Below are 20,043 nucleotides of genomic sequence, written 5' to 3'. Positions count from 1 at the left end.
ATTAACTCTTGTAACCACAGACTCACAATGGAAGCAGGCGTCTGATCTTTTCAGGCAACCACAGTGGTTCTGGTGGGTTTCTGGGTAGAGAACAACCATATAAGTTATTGAGTGTGTAGCAGTGTGTTTTCCTGATTGATGTATGGGATAGTCATGAATGTGGTATTGTATTTCCTACCTGAGGAAAAGGTCATGATTAAAATAAAGCATCAAAGCCAGGATAAGCATATAATTTCTTTCTTTTTTTTTTTTTTTGTAATGAGACAGAGTCTCACTCTGTAGCCCAGGCTGGAGTGCAGTGGTGTGATCTCAAATCACTGCAACCTCCGCCTTCCGGGTCCTGGTTCAAGCAATTCTCCTGCCTCAGCCTCCTGAGTAACTGGGATTACAAGTACGCCCCACCATGCCCAGCTAATTTTTGAATTTTTAGTAGAGACGGGGTTTCACCATGTTGGCCAGGCTGGTCTTGAACTTCTGACCTCGTGATCCACCCACCTTGGCCACCCAAAGTGTTGGGATTACAGGCGTGAGCCACGGTGCCCACCCGAGCATACGATTGTTTTAAAAAAGACTAGAATAAAAGCCAAGCTAAAGATTATAAGGTATCTTTGTCAGAAATGGTTGTGAGAGTGCTTCCTACCCTGTTTTTGATGCTTTATTGTTTATAACCATAGAATTAAACCCATGATAAAGTAAAGTATAAGAGAAAGATAACTGACAGATTTTAAAGTCATCAAACTTTTTTCTTGCTCTGTCACACAGGCTGGAGCACAATGGCTTGATCACAGCTCACTGCAGCCTTGACTTCCCAGGCTCAATCTTCCCACCTCAGCCTCCTGAGTAGCTGGGACCATAAGTGCGTGTCCCACCACACCTGGCTCATTATTAATTTTTCTTTGTTGCCCAGGCTGGTCTTGAACTCCTGGGATTACAGACATGAGCCACCACACCTGGTCCAAACTTTTTGCTTACAACTTTTAATAGAAATAGGTAAAAGAAATAGGAAGGATCTAATTGAGTTATAAAACAACCTTTAAAGATACAAAAGTGAAAAAGATTAAGCCATTGCTTTTTGTCAATAGAATTAAAAGCTGTTGGTAAAAATATTAATGTATGAAAAACTTATTGAAATGAAAAAACTATATATATATATATATATATATATATATATATATATATATATATATAAATAAAATGTCGACATGGCTGGATCTTAAAAACTGTCAAATGAAAAAAACTAATTGCAGGAAAGATTTTTTTTTTTTTTTTGAGAGGGAGTCTCACGCAGTCAACCCAGGTTGGAGTGCACTGGGGCAATCTTCCTGATTCTTGGGGAATCTTGGCTCACTGCAACCTCCGCTCCTGGATTCAAGCGATTCTCCTGCCTCAGCCTCCCGAGTAGCTGGGACTATAGGCGCACGCCACCATTCCCGGCTAGTTTTTGTATTTTTAGTAGAGATGGGGTTTCGCCATATTGGTCAGGATGGTCTTGAACTCCTGACCTTGTGATCTGCTCACCTCGGCCTCCCATAGTGCCAGGATTACAGGCGTAAGCCACCGTGCCCAGCCTAAAAGATTTTTAAGTATACTATTAACATAAAATTTGGTAGCCGTACAACCCTATTCATGAAATTTACACACATGCCGTGAAAATGTGGACAGGAAAAGACACACTAAGTTCATGATGAAAGCCATTACTTTTTAAAGAAGGAACAAAGGTGTAATCCCAGCACTTTGGGGAGGCTGAGGCAGGCGGGTCACGAGGTCAGGAGTTCAAGACCAGCCTGGCCAATACAGTGAAACCCTGTCTCTACTGAAAATACAAAAATTAGCCAGGCGTGGTGGCAGGTGCCTGTAGTCCCAGCTACTTGGGAGGCTGAGGCAGGAGAATTGCTTGAACCCGGGAGGTGAAGGTTGCAGTGAGTCGAGATCCTGCCATTGCACTCCAGCCTGGGTGACAGAGCAAGACTCCAACTTTAAAAAAAAAAAAGAGAGAAAAAAGGAATAAAGGAAGGAAATGGCACTAGGGAAAGGCACAAAGATGACTTCCATAAACTTTAGTTATTTTATGCTAAAAGAAAATCTGATACAAGCACAAGATGATGACTACGTAGATTAGTATTTCTGGGTTGCATGTTAAAAATATGAAAATAAAAACGGAAATAGTTTCCAAAACAAAGATTTTATATATGAAATTAGTGAAATTTCAGAATGGAGAAAGGATGGTTACAATAAATGTTAGGAGCCCTCTTTAAAGAGCTCAAATGGTATGTAAGTATTTGGGATTTGTGGTTTAATTAGACCTAGTTTTCAGCAGTCTTTCCATGAAATGTATTTTTGTATTTAGAGAGATCTTGGTAACTCTTGTAAAGCAGAGTGTCCTGCTACATTACATAACTTACCTAAGTAGGTGTGCTTTTTTTTGTTTTTCTAGAGACAGGGTCTCTGCTCTTTCACCCAGGCTGAAGTGTAGTGGCACCATCATAGCTCGGTGCAACCTTGATTTCCAGGGCTCAAGTGATCCTCCCATCTCGGTCTCCTGAGTAGTTAGGACTATAGGTGCAAGCCACCATGTGCAGCTTTCTTTTTTTTTTTTTTTTGGAGAGTCATGGCCTCGTTACATTGCCTGTCACCTAGACTGGCCAGCTGGTCTTGAACCCCTGGCCTCAAGTGGTCCTCCTGCCTCAGTCTCCCAAAGTATTGGGATTACAGGCATGAAACACTGCTACTGGCCTAGATAAGAATTTTTATATTGTTTTTGGTTGATTTAAGTGCTGAGAACTTATTTGCTTCAGAATAGATCTTTGGTTGAAATGCAGTTCAGTTTTGAGACTAAAAAATAAACCAGATTTACTCCCAAAAATGTTACTGTTTCAAATAAGTAAAATATTTGCACCTTTAAAGATTAGGAGTTGGCTGGGCATGGTGGCTCACTCCTATAATCTCAGCACTTTGGGAGGCCAAGGCAGGCAGATCACCTGAGGTCAGGAGTTCAAGACCAGCCTGGCCAACATGGTGAAACCCCATCTCTACTAAAAATACAAAAATTAGCTGGCTGTGGTGGCACCTGCCTATAATCCCAGCTACTCAGGAGGCTGAGGCGGGAGAATCGCTTGAACCCAGGAGGCAGAGGTTGCAGGGTGCTGAGATCGCACCACTGCAGTCCAGCCTGGGTGATAGAGCCAAGACTCTGTCTCAAAAAAAAAAAAAAAAAATTGGGAGTCATATTTATATAATTTTATTTCTATTTCTGTAAGGTCTAATTTTTGAGTATTTCTGAACATCAATAATAGAATCTCTGTCCAATTAGAATTTGTGCCTTGCTCAGTAGTTTTCATTTTAATGAATGATTCAAAAGAATACATTAGCTTAAGTTTTGTTTTTTTTAATAATATTTTAGCAAAGAATGGCTCAAGAAGTACTGACACATTTAAAGGAGCATCCTGATGCTTGGACAAGAGTCGACACAATTTTGGAATTTTCTCAGAATATGAATACGAAAGTAAGCAAGTGGTGGTTTTAAAATCTGTTATTTCTTTTCTTCCAGTCATAAACTTTGAGGAAGGTATCTCATTTTTAGTATTAGCATTTGTTATCTCAAATTATTTTATATTGTTAATTTGTTTCAAAATTTAGTCTTAAGCATATAATTAATTCTTGCAAATAGTCCTAAGAATTATGAATGAAGTTTTGTAATGGGACTAGTATGCAAGGTGGCTTTTTTGGTTGTCTGATTTTGTTTTTTTCTTTTTAGTATATGTATACAGGTCTAAGTAGCATAAATTCTGAATGTTATTCAGAGATTAAACATAACATTAAGGAATTATTTTGGGCAAGTAATCAATATAATACAGGCCAGGCACCTCTGACACCAAGTTGTGTGGACAGCTTAAAACCCTACTCCATGGCATTGGGCTTCTAATGGGACAGCACTCAGTTTTTATTTACAATGGAAAATGTTATAATTCTGGTCCTTTTTTAAGTTTGAACAGAAGGGTTGATCAAAATGTGTTTTGTCTGTTTTAGGCTTGATGATTCACGCTTCTCTTTAAACTGCCTTAAAGTAATAAATACTATGGCATTCTGTTTAATACACGAAAGGTTTCCACTTGATATACATTGTGTTAAAACAGAAGATAGCCATATTCACATCTGTTTCTGAAACCAGACTTTGTTAATTAACAGTTTTAAAATATTAATTAGTTTTGACATCTTGTAAATTTTAGGTCAAAAATACAGTCCAGAACTTCCTCAAAGTGCTAACCTTAAGTAACATAACAGTGTTTGCCTGTTTGCTTGCCTGGTAAATTTTGCTTTTTATACTGACAGACATTACTAATGTTTAAGTTGATTTATCAACAGTATTTTTAAAAACTCAAATTTGTCTTGTGAAAAATGAGATGATTAGAGGAACAGAAAGAAAGCAACAGGTAAAGAATTCTTCAATTTACATAAATTACAAATGATTTGGTGCTAAATTTATGCACTATGACATTTGGCTTTTATGCAATCATTTTTTTTTCTTTAAAGATGTTAACACTACCTGATATTAATCATAATGTTCCATTATGTTGATTGCTTGTAATAGGAAGAAAAGGGGTGTCTTCCTGTGCAACTGACACAGCTAGGCTTTGACGGCAGGCCTCCACAAGGTCTACCCTTTTGATTCCCTTTAACTGAATTCTGTTCATCAATTGTTTTTGTTTCATGGGCGGTGGGAGGGGAAAGGGGAATTCAATGCATAAAATAAGTATTTCTAAGGGCTCAGTAGAAATTTCTACCATAGGGATCATTTCATGCATTTATTTTTTCATTTAGTCTTTGCTGTTATCTGTCCCTCATCTTCATAACTCAGCAGTGGATTTCTCAAGTTTGGAGATGTAAGGCAAAAGTATAATTCTTCAGAATGTTTGGATTGTAGTGATTTATCATTGGCTTTCAGATTTGACTGTCACTTCAGATTTTTGAGCAAAAATACTAAAAAAAAAAAGAAAAAAAATTCTTTGAAGAGACAGGACCTCTGTTGCCCAGGCTGGAGTGCAGTGGTGTGATTATAGCTCACTGTAACCTCAAACTCCTGGGCTTAAGTGACATTTCTGCCTCAACTTTCTGAGTAGCTAGGGCTACAGGTGCGTGTCACCATGCCTCGCTAACTTACCAATTTTTTTATAGAAGTGGGGTCTCCCTGTGTTGCTCAGGCTGATCTTGAACTCCTGGCCCTCCCGCCTTGGCCTCCCCAAAATGTTGGGATTACAGGCGAGGGCCACTTTGCCTGGCCCCAAATAACATTTTTTCAAAGGAATGTAAATTTTTTTTGTTTTAGTTTCATAGGCAAAGTCTTTATGTCTGGGAGAGATTGGATTTTAGGATATTATAGTAACAGATGTATTCCTTTGACCTAACCTGGGCAAAGCATTTATTGGGCTCCCTGCTTCAACCCCCTTGGCAGAAAGATGAAATATGAATTGTATCTTCATCAAGCTTATGCTACCTTTATACAGTTGTAGAAAATACAGGTTAGTAAATAGTAATTTTAGGTAACAGTATCAAATAGGAAGAAGTAAATAAAAAAGAAAGGACAGTGTCTTTCCATTAAAAATGTAAAAAAGTTTGGTTAAATAAGATGAAGTTATCTTTAAGATTTTTATTTGTAACTATATTTATGGTGGGTTTTGTTTCTTAGTGTTTTAAAGGCTTTTTAATTGATTTTTGGCAAGAGGATATATTGTAAGCAGTGCATTGCTTTGACTTACTGAGTCTTGACAATCTGATTTTGTGCCTATAAAATTAAAGAAAATGCTTAGGGTAGTATGTTTTTAAAAGCTAATTAAGAACTTCAGGCATTTGGACAACTCTCTTTTTTTTACATATTTCTCAGACCTAGACATAATAAATAGATATGTTTTTAAAAGTGAACAGGTTAGAAAGCATCACTATTTACTGCTGATTATGAAACATTTTAATAGCATCAAATTTGTAATTTTAGAATTTTGCTTTGGCCTTGTTTTTATTTTGAAAGTTTTTAAGGAATGTTCTGCAAATGTAGTACTTTAGTTGAAATGGCAAAATTTTCTTGAAGAGTGTGAAATGTTAAAATGAAAGAAAACAGCAAAAACATTCACTGTTTGAGCACAATGTAGTTTGGGACAGTCTATATTGTGCTTTGGATAAAATGAGCATTCACATGATCCCTTTGGTTGAAATACTAATGCTCCTATTTTATTGTGTAATGACTAACCATTTTAAAGATGAACTCTTATTCTCAGCCAAAACTTGCAATCTGAGGTTATATGTCTATATATGAATGAGCTTACCTTTCAGATATTATAGCTGATTCTTCCCTAATTCTCTCAGTTGAAATGTACCACAACGGTTTTGTCCCTTTTCTTCCTCCTGCCTATCCACACTAATTGGTCATAGTAATTCAGGTAGTAACTCCTGGGGCTTTATAAATTATTATAAATATTGTTGACTATTTAGAGTGAGTAATCAGCAGGAGGGACAAAATGGCTTGAAAGTGGTATCTCTGTTTTTTAATTTTTTATACTTTTAGTTATAACTTTCAGTATTTAGGAAGAAATACCTGAAAGGTAGATACAGATTGCAACATGCGTTTGTGATTATTTTGACTGTGCACAAAAGTTTATCTTTAAATTAGTAGAAATAGCAACTATAAGGGTGGGGTTAAAATATAAAATAAACCCATGGGTTGTCTTGCTGCTCCTTAAGTAACACACCAGTGATGCTTGTAAACACTTTCTATAGAAAGTATCTGTGACAATACTTTAATATTTGGCCAAAAGCTTATAACTCCTAGAGGATGGTAGGAAGCTTGATAGCATCCAAGCTGCTAAATTCTTAGGAGCCTGTTCGTGTTAAAGTACGTGAGCCTATGAGCAGTCATTTATGCTGTGAATTCATATCTGGCTGCTACTTTTCCTTCGACAGATAAGCCTATTTGGCTGCTAAAGGGCTTTTTATTTGGTTCTTCCTCCTGGTGTGAGCATGTATAAACAGCAGGACGTTATATAGAGTAGCAAACAATAAAATGAGGAAAATGCATGAAAACTCAGTATATGGGTGAATAGATACTTGTTTAATATGTGTAATTAAACTTGGTAGCATAATGTTTTTGAAACTTTAGATGTAAATGTGTGAATGTCTGTCCATTTGTGAATCCTGAGAGTTGCCAGTCCTATAAGCAATATATTCACATGCTTCTATTCTCCAATTTTCAGTACTATGGACTACAAATTTTGGAAAATGTGATAAAAACAAGGTGGAAGATTCTTCCAAGGAACCAGTGCGAAGGTAGGAAAATAAAGAATTATAAATTCAGAGTTTTGTTTTTCCTGGCATTTTTATTGTAGTTGACTGTTTGAGGGGGCATGTAATGAATCTTTAGTATATTTTGCTCTAATGGAGCTTATTGCTTTTATCATGAAGCAAACAGGTCTGTTTGTATTGGTGGGTACAGGAAGGCCACTTACAGGTTATCTTTTGGGAGAAAGAGGAGACTGGACTGTTGAAAACTCTGACAATAAATATTCTAGTTAAAAATATGGGCTATGGCACAGTGGCCCACGCCTGTAATCCTAACACTTCAGGAGGCCGAGGCAAGTAGATCGCTTGAGTCTGGGAGTTCTATACCAGCCTAGGCAGTATAGCAAGACCTCATCTGGACAAAAATTTAAAAAATTAGCTGGGTATGGTGGTTCATGTCTGTGGTCCCAGCTATGTGGGAGCATTGCTTGAGCTCAAAAGGTCGAGACTGCAGTGAGCCATGATCCTGCCACTGCACTTCAGCCTGGGTGACAAGAGTGAGACCCCATCTCCAAAAAAACATATATATAAATAAAATATGGGCCGGGCACAGTGGCTCAAGCCTGTAATCCCAGGACTTCGTGAGGCTGAAGTGGGAGGGTCATTTAAGGCCAGAAGTTTGAGACCATCCTGGGTAACATAGCGAGACCCTGTGTTTACAAAAAATTTAAAAATTAGCCAGGTATTTTGGTGCAGGTGGCGGCGGGGACAGGGGTATCAGTGGGGTGAGGTAGGAGGATCCCTTGAGCCAAGAGGTTGAGACTGCAGTGAGCCATCATTGTGCCACTGTACTCTAGCCTGGGCAACGAGCGAAACTCCGTCTCAAAAAACAAGAACAACAACAACAAAAAAAACCATATGTAAGGTTAACTCGGGAATGGAAAAGCCAAGTACTAAAGATCACAAAGCTGTTTTGCCTTTTGTGGTTCTGGGAATGCCTTGGAAGAGGTTGGCTTCTGAAATGAAGAAAGATCAGAAAATGAAGGTGTAGTGATACCTGTTAATGAGTAATTTAACTTTTCTGTCTGTGCTACCTTGAGGAATGTAGTCATATTTTGAGAAACCTGAGGCAACATTAGTTTCTTGGGATTCTTTGATTTAGCTAATTTCAGTTATGATACACTGCCTTTTTACCTACTATATTTCATTTATCTCTGAAAAATAGAAATTTTTTTCTTGACTTTATTATGGGGCACATGATACTTCTAGTAGTATTTTCATTTAAAATATGTCTAATTTCTTTGATTATTTGTCTTTTAAGTATTGTCCTTCACCTGCATTCTCTTATCATCATTATGGTAGAATAGTGACATGGATTTACTTAGCTAATCTGACTTAAACCTTGACAAAGTTTGAGCACATTTAGAGTTGAATGTGATGAGATTTTAATGCCAGTGTCTTTTTTTAAGAATATTAAGTATATTCAGTGGCAATATCTTTAATACATCATAAATCATAGATTAAGAGTGATAGTGCAGGAGCAAATAATGTGCCCTAAAAGAGGTTCTCATTTCTTTAAATGTTTTATTATGGTTTGAAACTATTTTAGATCACGTTCTGTGATGGACTGAGAAATTAATAAGCACAATTTGACTATGTGGTCCAAGTAGGTCCTTCATACTTTATTCTTCAGGGATCTTTAGTGTAGTCATTCCTTGTTTCTTTACTACTATTGTTTTACTCATGTGTTATGAGCCCCAGATTTAATTTTGGCCATGGTCTGCCGTACCAAGAAAAGGTGATTTACTTCTGTCCCATTTTACTGTTGTATAATTTTAAATCCTCCTTTTGTTCTTAAATCTGCATCTCTGTTTTTTATCACATTTGATGGTTCTGGAAGATGTTTTCCAGGTTGAAAATAGATATGATTATACTAGTTTATCAACACTGTAGTTACATTTGTTACAGACAAAATTAATTTAAAAAATTTTTGTTTCTTTCTTTCTTCTTTGTTGAGACAGATTCTCACTCTGTTCCTCAGGCTGGAGTGCATTGGCACCATCACTGCAGCTTCAAATAGCTGCGGTCAAGCAATCCTCCCACCTCAGCCTCCCGAGTAGCTGGGAACATAGGCATGCCCCACCATGCCCTACTAAATTTTTTTTTTTTTTAATGTTTTGTAGGGATGGTGTCTCGCTGTGTTGCCCATGCTGCTGGCTGCTGGGCTTGAGCAATCCTCCCACCTTGGCCTGCCAGAGTGCTGGGATTGTAAGCATGAGCCACCATACTTAGTCAACATGATTACCTTTTTAATTTTAACTGGGAGGCTTCTCTAACCTAAAGATTTATTTCACAAAATACACTAGAACTTCTGAACATTAATTTTCCTTCATCTTTAAGTAACTTTGGTATTGGAAATTACATAAATTAATTTAAAACATTTTATTTCCTTTTTCTGTAAGTGTCCTGTCTTTTAAAGGTATTCGCTTTGCTTTTTGCTGTAGCTATACCCTTTGTCCAACTACCATAGCATATATATTTGTTCACCTGGGGTGCATATTGTGCGTTTCCTTTGTACCGATTACTACTAAATATTAAGGTTATAAAAATATACATGTACATCAAAGTGCTGTATGTCACAGTGTTATAGTTGGGAAGACAAAACACATGTAAAAGAGGAATCATAAATCAGCAAATTAGGTGTATATAATGAGTGCTTCACAAGCTAAAAGAACAGAATGATGTCTAAGTCCGGCCCTTTAGCTAAGTTTCATTCACATAATTGGAAAGAAATGCCTGGTATATTTTAAAGGAAGGAAAGGTTTCACTGCATAAGAGTATGCCAAAATTAGATTCCTGCATTTTTTTTCTGATGTAGAATTTGTTTTATCTGCTTTTAGGTTCTTGTCCACAGCATGTTAATTTTTACGTGGTGTTTTTTTTTTTTTTTTTTTTTTTTTGAGACGGAGTCTTGCTCTGTTGCCCAGGCTGGAGTGCAGTGGCGCAGTCTTGGCTCACTGCAAGCTCCACCTCCTGGGTTCATGCCATTCTCCTGTCTCAGCCTCCTGAGTAGCTGGGACTACAGGCACCCGCCACCACACCCAGCTAATTTTTTTTTTTTTTTTTTAGTAGAGATGGTTTCACTATGTTAGCCAGGAAGGTCTCGATTTCCTGACCTTTTGGTCCTCCCGCCTCGGCCTCCATGCCTGTTGAGATTACAGGCATGAGCCACTGCCTGGCTAACATGTTCTTTTAAATTAATGACATTTTCAATTTAGGCCTCTTGTATAAATACTGTCAGGAAAATCTCATGATTCTTGAGTGGGTTAGATGTCTCTTGCTGTGTTATACGTTACTGTATCCTGTACCAGTGGGTCACAGGAGAATAAAATTTTAAAGAGCAAAAGATAGGCTCAGCACGGTGGCTCACGCCTGTAATCCCAGCACTTTGGGAGGCCAAGGCAGGCAGATAACGAGGTCAGGAGTTTGAGACCAGTCTTACCAACATGGAGAAACCCTATCTCTACTAAAAATACAAAAATTAGCCGGGCGTGGTGGCACATGCCTGTAATCCCAGCTACTCAGGAGGCTGAGGCAAGAGAATTGCTTGAACCCGGGAGGCGGAGGTTGCAGTGAGCTGAGATCACGCCATTGCACTCCAACAGAGCGAGACTTCATCTCAAAAAAAAAGAGCAAAAGATAGACATAATTAGAAAGTAAGGATGTTTAAAAGAACATTTAATTTTCCAAAAGATATTTTTATAGCAAGAGAAATGGCGAGATAATAAAACATTTAAATAAGTTGAGATTTGTTATATAAAATTTATTACATTTCTCTGGATTTTCATTTAGCTTTAGGCCGTAAGTGTGTGTCTATTTGTTTGTGTTTTATGTGTTTTGTCCCTCACACCCCACATTACACTTGGCTGTTTTAGTCACTTTATTCCCCATCCTTCAAACTATAAGCTCCTTGATATTGGGGCTCAGAGTGTCTTTTTTTCTTTGGTTTTTTTTTGGTCTGTTTTTGTGTTTGTTTTTGTTTAAGACAGAGTCTCGCTCTGTTGCCCAGGCTGGAGTGCAGTGGCGTGATCTCGGCTCAGTGCAAGCTCTGCCTCCCGGTTTCACACCATTCTCCTGCCTCAGCCTCCTGAGTATCTGGGACTGCAGGCGCCTGCCACCACGCCCGGCTAACTTTGTGTGTGTGTGTGTGTGTGTGTGTGTGTGTGTGTGTGTGTGTGTGTTTTGTTTTTTGTTTTTTGTTTTTTTTTTTAGTAGAGACGGGGTTTCACCGTGTTAGCCAGGATGGTCTCGATCTCCTGACCTCGTCATCCGCCTGCCTCGGCCTCCCAAAGTGCTGGGATTACAGGTGCGAACCACCGCGCCTGGCTTTTTCTTTGTTTTTTAAAGATGTAGGGTTTCACTCTGTTGCTCAGGCTGGAGTACAGTGGTGCAATCATGGTTCACTGCAGCCTGGAACTCCTGGGCTCCAGTGATCCTCTTGCCTCAGGCTTTTTTTCTTTTTTTTTTGTGAGACAGAGTCCCTCTCTGTCACCCAGGCTGGAGTGCAGTGGCGCAGTCTTGGCTCACTGCACCCTCTGCCTCCTGGGCTCAAGTGATTCTCATGTGTCAGTCTCCCAAGTAGCTGGGATTACAGATGCACACCACCATGCCTGGCTAATTTTTGTATTTGTTTTAGTAAGGACAGGGTTTCGCCATGTTGACCAGGCTGGTCTCGAACTCCTGACTTCAGGTGATCCTCACCCTCCCAGAGTGCTGGGATTATAGGCGTGAGCCATTGCATCCTGCCCTCTTGCCTCAGCCTTGAGAGTAGCTAGCACTGTAGGTCCGCACCACCATGCCCAGCTAATTAAAAAAAATTTTTTTTTTTAGAGATAGAGTCTCACTGTGAAGCCCAGGCTGGTTTTAAACTCCTGGGTTTAAAGCAGTCTTCCTACTTTGCCGTCCCAAATTGCTACCAAGCCTGGCTGGGAAATTTTAATATGTCAAATGGAAGAATTCCCTAATAAAGAGTGGTTGCTATTCATGGTAGTCTTTTATTTATTCATTTGTTTTGAGACAAGATCTCACTGTATCACCCATGCTGGAGTACAGTGGCACAATCATAGCACACTGCAGCCTTAAACTCCTGAGCTCAGGCAGTTACCACGCCTTAGCCTGCCAAAATAGCTAGGACTACAGGCATGTGCCACCACACCCAGCTAAGTTTTTCTAATTTTGATAGAGACACAGTTTGCCTATGTTGTCCAGGCTTGTCTTGAACTCCTGGCCTCAAGTGATGCTCCAACCTCAGCATCCCAAAGTGCTGGGGTTACAGGTATATCACCACTCCTAGCCATCACTGAAGTCTTAAAGGTCCTCTAGGACTGCCAGTGGTGTTGATTCTTTATCAGAGTCATGATTCAGATAATTCCCCATCCCTTTTTAAAAATGGCATTTAGGCTGGGTGTGGTGGCTTACACCTGTAATCCCAGCACTTTGGGAGGCTGAGGTGGGCAGATCACCTGAGGTCAGTTCGAGACTAGCCTGGCCAGTGTGGTGAAACCCGGTCTCTACTAAAAATACCAAAATTAGCTGAGTGTGGTGGCAGATGCCTTTAATCCCAGCTAATTGAGAGGCTGAGGCAAGAGAATCGGTTGAACCTGGGAGGTGGAGCTTACAGTGAGCCAAGACAGCACGACTGCACTCCAGCCTGGGCAACAAGAGTGAAACTCTGAAATTAAAAAATAATTAATTAATTAATTAAAAATGGCATTTAGATAATTCAAATAAAAAAAAAGAGGAAGCCTCCTTTGTTCCTGTTGGGGGGAAAGATGATGCTATATAAAGGTATTTCTGTACTTTTTATTTAAACCAAGGGATTGTTTTAATCAGTTAATGTGTATGGCTTATAGATCATTTCATTGATTGATAAAAACTTACTCACAGGCGGGGCATGGTGGCTCATGCCTGTAATCCCAGCACTTTGGGAGGCTGAGGCGGGCAGATCACCTGAGGTCCGGAGTTCGAGACCAGCCTGACCAACATGGAGAAACCCCATCTCTACTACAAATACAAAATTAGCCAGGCGTGGTGGCGCATGCCTGTAATCCCAGCTATTGGGGAGGCTGAGGCAGGAGAATCGCTTGAACCCGGGAGGCAGAGGTCGCGGTGAGCTGAGATCGCGCCATTGCACTACGGCCTGGGCACCAAGAGCGAAACTCAGTCTCAAAAAAAAACCCACACTTGGCTCACATTGAATAGAGAAGAAGCGAATTTATGAAAAAAGTAATCCAAAGTGGAAAGATCGTAATTACAAGGTTTGATTTTTTTTTTTTGTTTGGTTTGGTTTTTTCGAGGCGGAGTTTCGCTGTTGTTGCCCAGGCTGGAGTGCAGTGGCTCAATCTCCACTCACTGCAGCCTCCGCCTCCTGGGTTCAAGCTATTCTCCTGCCTCAGCCTCCCGAGTAGCTGGGATTACAGGCATGTGCCACCATGCAAGGTTGGTTTTGTTTTGTTTTGTTTTTTTTTAATTTTGCGACGGAGTTTCGCTCTGTCGCCCAGGCTGGAGTGTAGTGGCGAGATCTTGGGTCACTGGATGCTCAGCCTCCTGGGTTCACACCATTCTTCTGCCTCAGCCTCCTGAGTAGCTGGGACTACAGGTGCCTGCTACCACGTCTGGCTAATTTTGTGTGTGTGTGTGTGTGTGTGTGTGTGTGTGTGTGGTTTTTTTTTTTTTTTTTAGTAGAGATGGGGTTTCACCGTGTTAGCCAGGATGGTCTCGATCTCCTGACCTCGTGATCCACCCTCCTCGGCCTCCCAAAGTGCTGGGATTACAGGCGTGAGCCACCGTGCCCGGCCAGGTTGGATTTTATAAGTAGTTGGGCCACTAAAATTTCTGAGTTGTACAGTTTCATGTCTTTAGTTGGCAGACCAAAGCTGATCCACTCATAAAATTTTATTTAGTGCTCTCCTTTGACGTGAGACACGTGGTATATTTATTGGCACCGTAATACTGGCTACATTATTTGACCTCATATTTCAGTTTGTGTTGCAAGGTTTTGGGCATTAGAGCTAATGTATAGGAAGCCCTGTGCTTACATATGCTGAGTATGAGTAAGTAGTGGGTTACCAACTGTTTTTGATGAAATATCTGCATTTCACCAAATTGCCATATACCAGTCTCAAAATATCCTGAACCTTCTGAAATACCTTCCTAAGTGAGCTCACTAACACCTACTTTTCTGTGTCCTTTACAATTTTTTCACCACAAAGTCTCAAAGTTTCAGAAACGGAACTAATAGGGTCACTTCTGCTGAAGATCTCCTGTAGTATTGAAGATATTTAACATGTTTCCTTTAATTGATATTGGCCTTTGAGAATTTTTGTATTTGCCTTATTTATTAGGTTTAAAGTGTACAGTTGGATAAGTTTTATCTTGTGCATGCTCCTGTGAAACTACCTCTGTATAATCAAGATCTGCCTCTATCCGATTACTTTCACCTTCACTGCCCCTCTTCACATGTGCTTGTTGTCACTTGCTTGGTAAGAGTGGAATGGCTGGATTGTGTGGATTTTTTTTTTTTTTTTTTTAAGACAGTCACACTACTCTGTCGCCCAGGCTGGAGTGCAGTGTCATGATCTTGGCTCATTGCAACCTCTGGCTCTCGGGTTCAAGCGATTCTTGTGCCTCAGCCTCCCAAGTAGGTGGGATTACAAGCATGCACCACCACACCAGCATAATTTTTGTTTTTGTAATAGAGTTTCGCCATATTGGCCTGGCTGGTCTCAAACTCCCGACCTCAGGTGATCTGTCCACTTCGGCCTCTCACAGTGCTGAGATTATACTCATAAGCCACTGCGCCCAGCCCATATGGATGTTTTGGTGTATGTTTAAGCATCCAACTGTATTCCAAAGTGGTCATGTCAGTCTCACCAGCAGTGTATAAGTATGTTTCACATCTCGGCTGACATTTGGTATAGACAATGTTTTTAGTTTGGCTATTGTAGTGCATATACAATAGCATCTCATGGTGGTTTTAATTTCTTTCTTTTTTTTTTTTTTTTTTAAAGACAGAGTCTTGCTCTGTCGCCCAGGCTGGAGTGCAGTGGCCTGATCTCGGCTGACTGCAACCTCTGTTTCCCGGGTTCAAGCGATTCTCCTGCCTCAGCCTCCTGAGTAGCTGAGACTACAGGCATGTGCCACCACACCCAGCTAATTATTTTGTATTTTTAGTAGAGACGAGCTTTCACCATGTTGGCCAGGATGGTCTCGAACTCCTGACCTGGTAATCAGCCCACCTCAGCCTCCCAAAGTGCTGGGATTACAGGCATGAGCCACCACGCCCAGCCTTAATTTCCATGTGGAGTAGTGTTGTTCTGTGTTCCATCACATATCCTTACATGTTCTTTGCCATGCCAGTATGTTTTTGGTGAAATGTCTGTTCAAAAATTTTGCTCAGTTTTTTTTTTTTTTGAGACGGAGCCTGGCTCTATTGCCCCAGCTGGAGTGTGGTGGCACAATCTCAGCTCACTGCAACCTCTGCCTCCTGGGTTCAAGCGATTCTCCTGTCTCAGTCTCCTGAGTAGCTGGGATTACAGGTATGCACCACCACGCCCTGCTACTTTTTCGTATTTTTAGTAGTAGAGATGGGGTTTCACCATGTTAGCCACGCTGGTCTCTATCTCCTGACCTCGTGATCCACCTGCCTCAGCCTCCCAAAGCGCTAGGATTACAGGCGTGTAAGCCCACCATGCCCCGCCAATTTTGCCCAGTTTTTATTGGGCTATTCCCTTATTGAGATCTAAGGGCTCTTTGTATTCTAGTCAGGAGTATTTTGTTAACTGTATATTTTGCAAGTGTTTTGTCTGTGGCTTCCTGTTTAATTTTTGTAATGGTGTCTTTTGCAGAGCAAAAATTTCAGATTTTGATTAAAATCAGTGTTGATTTTTTTTTCTTTATATAGTTGATGTTTTTTGTGTTGTATTCAAGAAATCTTTGTCATGCAAAGGTCACTTAAGATTTTCTGTAAGTTTTTGGCTGGGCACAGTGGCTCACGCCTGTAATTCCAGCAATTTGGGAGGCCGAGGCAGGCAGATCTCTTGAGGTCAGCAGTTCGAGACGAGCCTGGTCAACAGGGTGAAACCGCATGTCTACTAAAGATACAAAAATTAGCTGGGTGTGTTGGTGAATTGCTTGAACTGGGGAGGCAGAGACTGCAGTAAGCCTAGATCACACCACTGCCCTCCAGCCTGGGTGACAGAGCAAGACTCTCTCTCAAAAAAAAAAAAAAAAAAAAGATATTCTGTACGTTTTCTTATAGAACCTTTATAGTTTTAGCTTTTGCATTAAGATCTGTGATTTGGCTGGGCACAGTAGCTCACAATTGTAATCCCAGCACTGGGAGGCCAAGGCAGGCGGAAACAATACAAACAAATTAGCCAGGCGTGGTGGCATGCACCTGTAATCCCGACTGCCAGGAAGCTGAGGTGGGAGGAATGCTTGAGTTGAGTTCGGGAGGTGGAGGTTGCAGTGAGCCGAGATCATGCCACTGCACTCCAGCCTGGGCGACAAAGACCCTGTCTGAAAAAAGCATCATGTGATTCATTTTACTCAATTTTTGTATATGAGGTGAGGTAAGGGTCAAGGTTTATATATTTATTTGAGACAGAGTCATGCTCTGTCTCCTGGCCAGAGTACAGTGGCGCGATCTTGGCTCACTGCAAACTCCACCTGCCAGATTACAGGTGCACACCACCACACCCGGCTAATTTTTGTATTTTTAGTAGAGATGGGGTTGCCCCATGTTGGCCAGGCTGGTCTGGAACTCCAGACCTCAAGTGATCCGCCAGTCTCAGCCTCCCAAAGTGCTGGGATTATGTGTGAGCTACCGCACCCAGCTCCCCAACTTTGTTTCTAAAAGGTTTGGCTATTGTTGGTTTTTTGCTGTTCCATAAAAATTTTAGAGTGAAATCTGGCAAATTTCAACAAAAGCTGTCCTGAAATTTTTATTGAGATTGCCTTGGATCTGTGGATGCATTTGGAGAGAATGAACATCTTTAATGTCAATTCCTGATTATTTCTTGCTAATATAGAGAATTGCCATTGTTCACTTATCTCTTGAACGTGTAGTTTAATCCAGCTAGTCAAAGCCCAGTTCAAACTCACTTTCCCTTCCTGTTGTGAGAAAACACCTCAATTTTGCAAAAGCTCTTGGAATTTAACATTTCTGCTGCTTTTCCCTGTATGTGTGGTGTTTAGTCTTTTCATAGTTCGTTGACTATGGAATTCAGAGCAGAAACCCTATTTCCTAATTTCCTTGGGAAGTTTTCAGAACTAGATGATAATGTAAGTTTCTAATAAGTTGATAGTGTTACTCAGAGGTGATTGTTTCATTTATGATTTTGAAAAGAAAATGTAAATATTAGACTTAAGTCCTTGCATCTAAAACAAATTCATGAGAAATCCCACAGAATACAATGTTAGAGATGGGAGCAAAAATTATCAGTCTAATCTCAGAGAGTTGACAGGCATTCCAAATCGTTTTTTGTCAGTATTTAAACCATGGTAGGATAATGTAAGAAATATACTTAATGCCTGGTGCGATGTCTCACGCCTGTAATCCCAGCACTTTGGGAGGCCTAGGCAGGCAATTGTCTGAGGTCAGGAGTTCGAGACCAGTCTGGCCAACATGGTGAAACCCCGTCTCTACTAAAAATACAAAAAAAATTAGCCGGGCATGGTGGCGTGTGCCTGTAATCCCAGAATCCCAGCTACTCGGTAGGTTGCAGCAGGGGAGTTGCTTGGACCAGGGAGGTGGAGGCTGCAGTGAGCTGTGATCATGCCACTGCATTCCAGCCTGGGCGACAGAGCAAGGCTCCGTCTCAAAAAGAAAAAAAAGAAAAGAAAAAGAAATATCTGTAAGCTATAAATTATGTTTTTCATTTCTAAAAAAAACAAGGCAGGCCAGGCACAGTGATTGAGGCCTGCAATCCCAGCAGTTTGGGAGGCTCTCTTGAGCCCAGAAATTTGAGATCAGCCAGGACAAGATAGTTAGACTTCTCTCTACTAAAAATACAGAAAACTAGCAGTGTATGGTCGAGTGCCCCTGTAGTTTCAGCCACTCAGGAGGCTGAGGCGGGAGAATCATTTGAGTCCAGGCAGGAGGTCGAGCCCTGATTGATTGCACCACTGCACTCCAGCCTGGGCAACAGAGTGATAATATCTGAAAAGATAGGCTGGGCACAGTGGCTCTTGCCTGTAATCCCAGGACTTTGGGAGGCTGAGGCAGGCAGATCACCTGAGGTTGGGAGTTCGAGATCAGCCTGACCAACATGGTGAAACCCCATCTCTACTAAAAATAACAAAAAAATTAGCTGGGCGTGGTGGCGCATTCCTGTAATCCCTGCTACTCTGAAGGCTGAGGCCGGAGAATTGCTTAAACCTGGGAGGTGGAGGTTGCAGTGAGCCGAGATTGCGCCATTGCATTCCAGCCTGGGCAACAAGAACGAAACTCTGTCTAAAAAATAAAGAAAAGAAAGCAGTATTTTCAGGCACATTGTATATGATTGATAGGAATAGTATTTCCATTTCTGGTTAATGTAACAATTTGCCCCATTCCAAGTATTTTGATTACAGGCCTCCATGAAAGGCCTATACTTGATACCTAACAGTGTTTGATCCCTAGCTTACATCCATGTAACTTTTTTTTTTTTTTTTTTTTTTGAGATAAGGTCTCACGCTGTCGCCCAAGCTGGAGTGCAGTGGCGGGATCATGGCTTAACTCTAGCCTCAACTTCCGGGGCTCTAGCAATCCTCCTGCGTCAGTCTCCTGCATAACTGGGACTACGTGCGCATGAATCATACCTGGCTCACTGTTTCTATTTTTTGTAGAGATGGGGTCTCGCTATGTTGCCTAGGCTGGTCCTGAACTCCTGGGCTCAAGCGATCCTCTGCCTCAGCCTCCCAAAGTGTTTAGATTACAGTCAAGAGCTACTGTGCTCGACCTGCTTTCACCTTTTGGCTATCATGAGTGATGCTCCTGTCAATTTTAATAAAATTTTAATCTTTTAGATTTTTTGTCCAGTGTGTTTGAGGCCATAAACATCCATTTAAGAATGGCGGATGTGCATATAGATCCATTTCTCTTAACATTATCAAAGCAGGTTAAATTATAGATTATCTGTGGGAACCCTAACTTAACTCCTGCTTTAGAATTATTGTTAGCTGTTTGTCTTCCATGTGGCATTGTTCTTATTAATATTTCATTGAGAGAACAGTAGTAACAATATCCTGTATACCCTTGTGTAAGTAAAGAGAGCAGATCACTATTTTATTGACCATCTTTCAAAAGATCGATTTTGTGTGTTTTTTTGTTTTGTTTTGAGATAGTCTCACATTGTCGCCCAGGCTGCTTGGATTGCAGTAGTACAATCTTGGCTCACTGCAACCTCTGCCTTCCGGGTTGAAGCGATTCTTGTGCCTCAGCCTCCAGAGTAGCTGGTACTACAGGTGTGCACCACCATGCCTGGCTATTTTTTTGTATTTTAATAGACAGGTTTCACCATGTTGGCCTGGCTGGTCTCAAACTCCTGGCCTCAAGTGATCCACCCACCTCGGCCTCCCACAGCGCTAGGATTACAGGCTTGAGCCACCACATCCAGCCAATTTTGATGTTTTCATGGACTGATACTTGTAATAAACATTTCAATTATATATAGCATTGATGTAGAAATGTACCAAATTTACATTTTTTTAGCTTATGGAATAAATAAATGTTTAAAC

General features: G+C 40.7%; 1 protein-coding gene across 24 annotated transcripts in view, besides 1 other annotated feature; it reads left to right on the top strand.

Annotated features, from left to right (window-relative positions):
• The window catches only part of XPO1 (exportin 1), a 60,764-nt gene that overhangs the window by 8,691 nt on the left and 32,030 nt on the right, over positions 1–20,043 (top strand). For 20 of the 24 annotated variants that reach the window (XM_047445764.1, XM_011533097.2, XM_047445771.1 and 17 more), the window contains 2 exons: positions 3,401–3,502; positions 7,239–7,311. In XM_047445764.1, coding sequence (XP_047301720.1) covers positions 3,401–3,502; positions 7,239–7,311 — 175 coding nt within the window. Of the gene's footprint in view, positions 1–3,400; positions 3,503–4,367; positions 4,431–4,588; positions 4,653–7,238; positions 7,312–13,454; positions 13,581–20,043 lie in introns of those variants that run through there. The other 4 variants (XM_024453127.2, XM_005264546.3, XM_047445772.1 and 1 more) reach the window with 4 other exon arrangements.
• Positions 12,958–13,458: an enhancer, noted in NCBI's record as "H3K4me1 hESC enhancer chr2:61743599-61744099 (GRCh37/hg19 assembly coordinates)". NCBI's record gives its function as "activates a minimal SCP1, AML or CMV promoter by ChIP-STARR-seq in primed H9 embryonic stem cells {active_cell/tissue: H9 hESC(primed)}" and the evidence as "EXISTENCE:reporter gene assay evidence [ECO:0000049][PMID:30033119]".

This window comes from Homo sapiens, chromosome 2 (assembly GCF_000001405.40).
Source record: "Homo sapiens chromosome 2, GRCh38.p14 Primary Assembly".
Lineage (NCBI taxonomy): Eukaryota > Metazoa > Chordata > Mammalia > Primates > Hominidae > Homo > Homo sapiens.
This window is presented reverse-complemented; position numbering and strand designations above follow the sequence as displayed.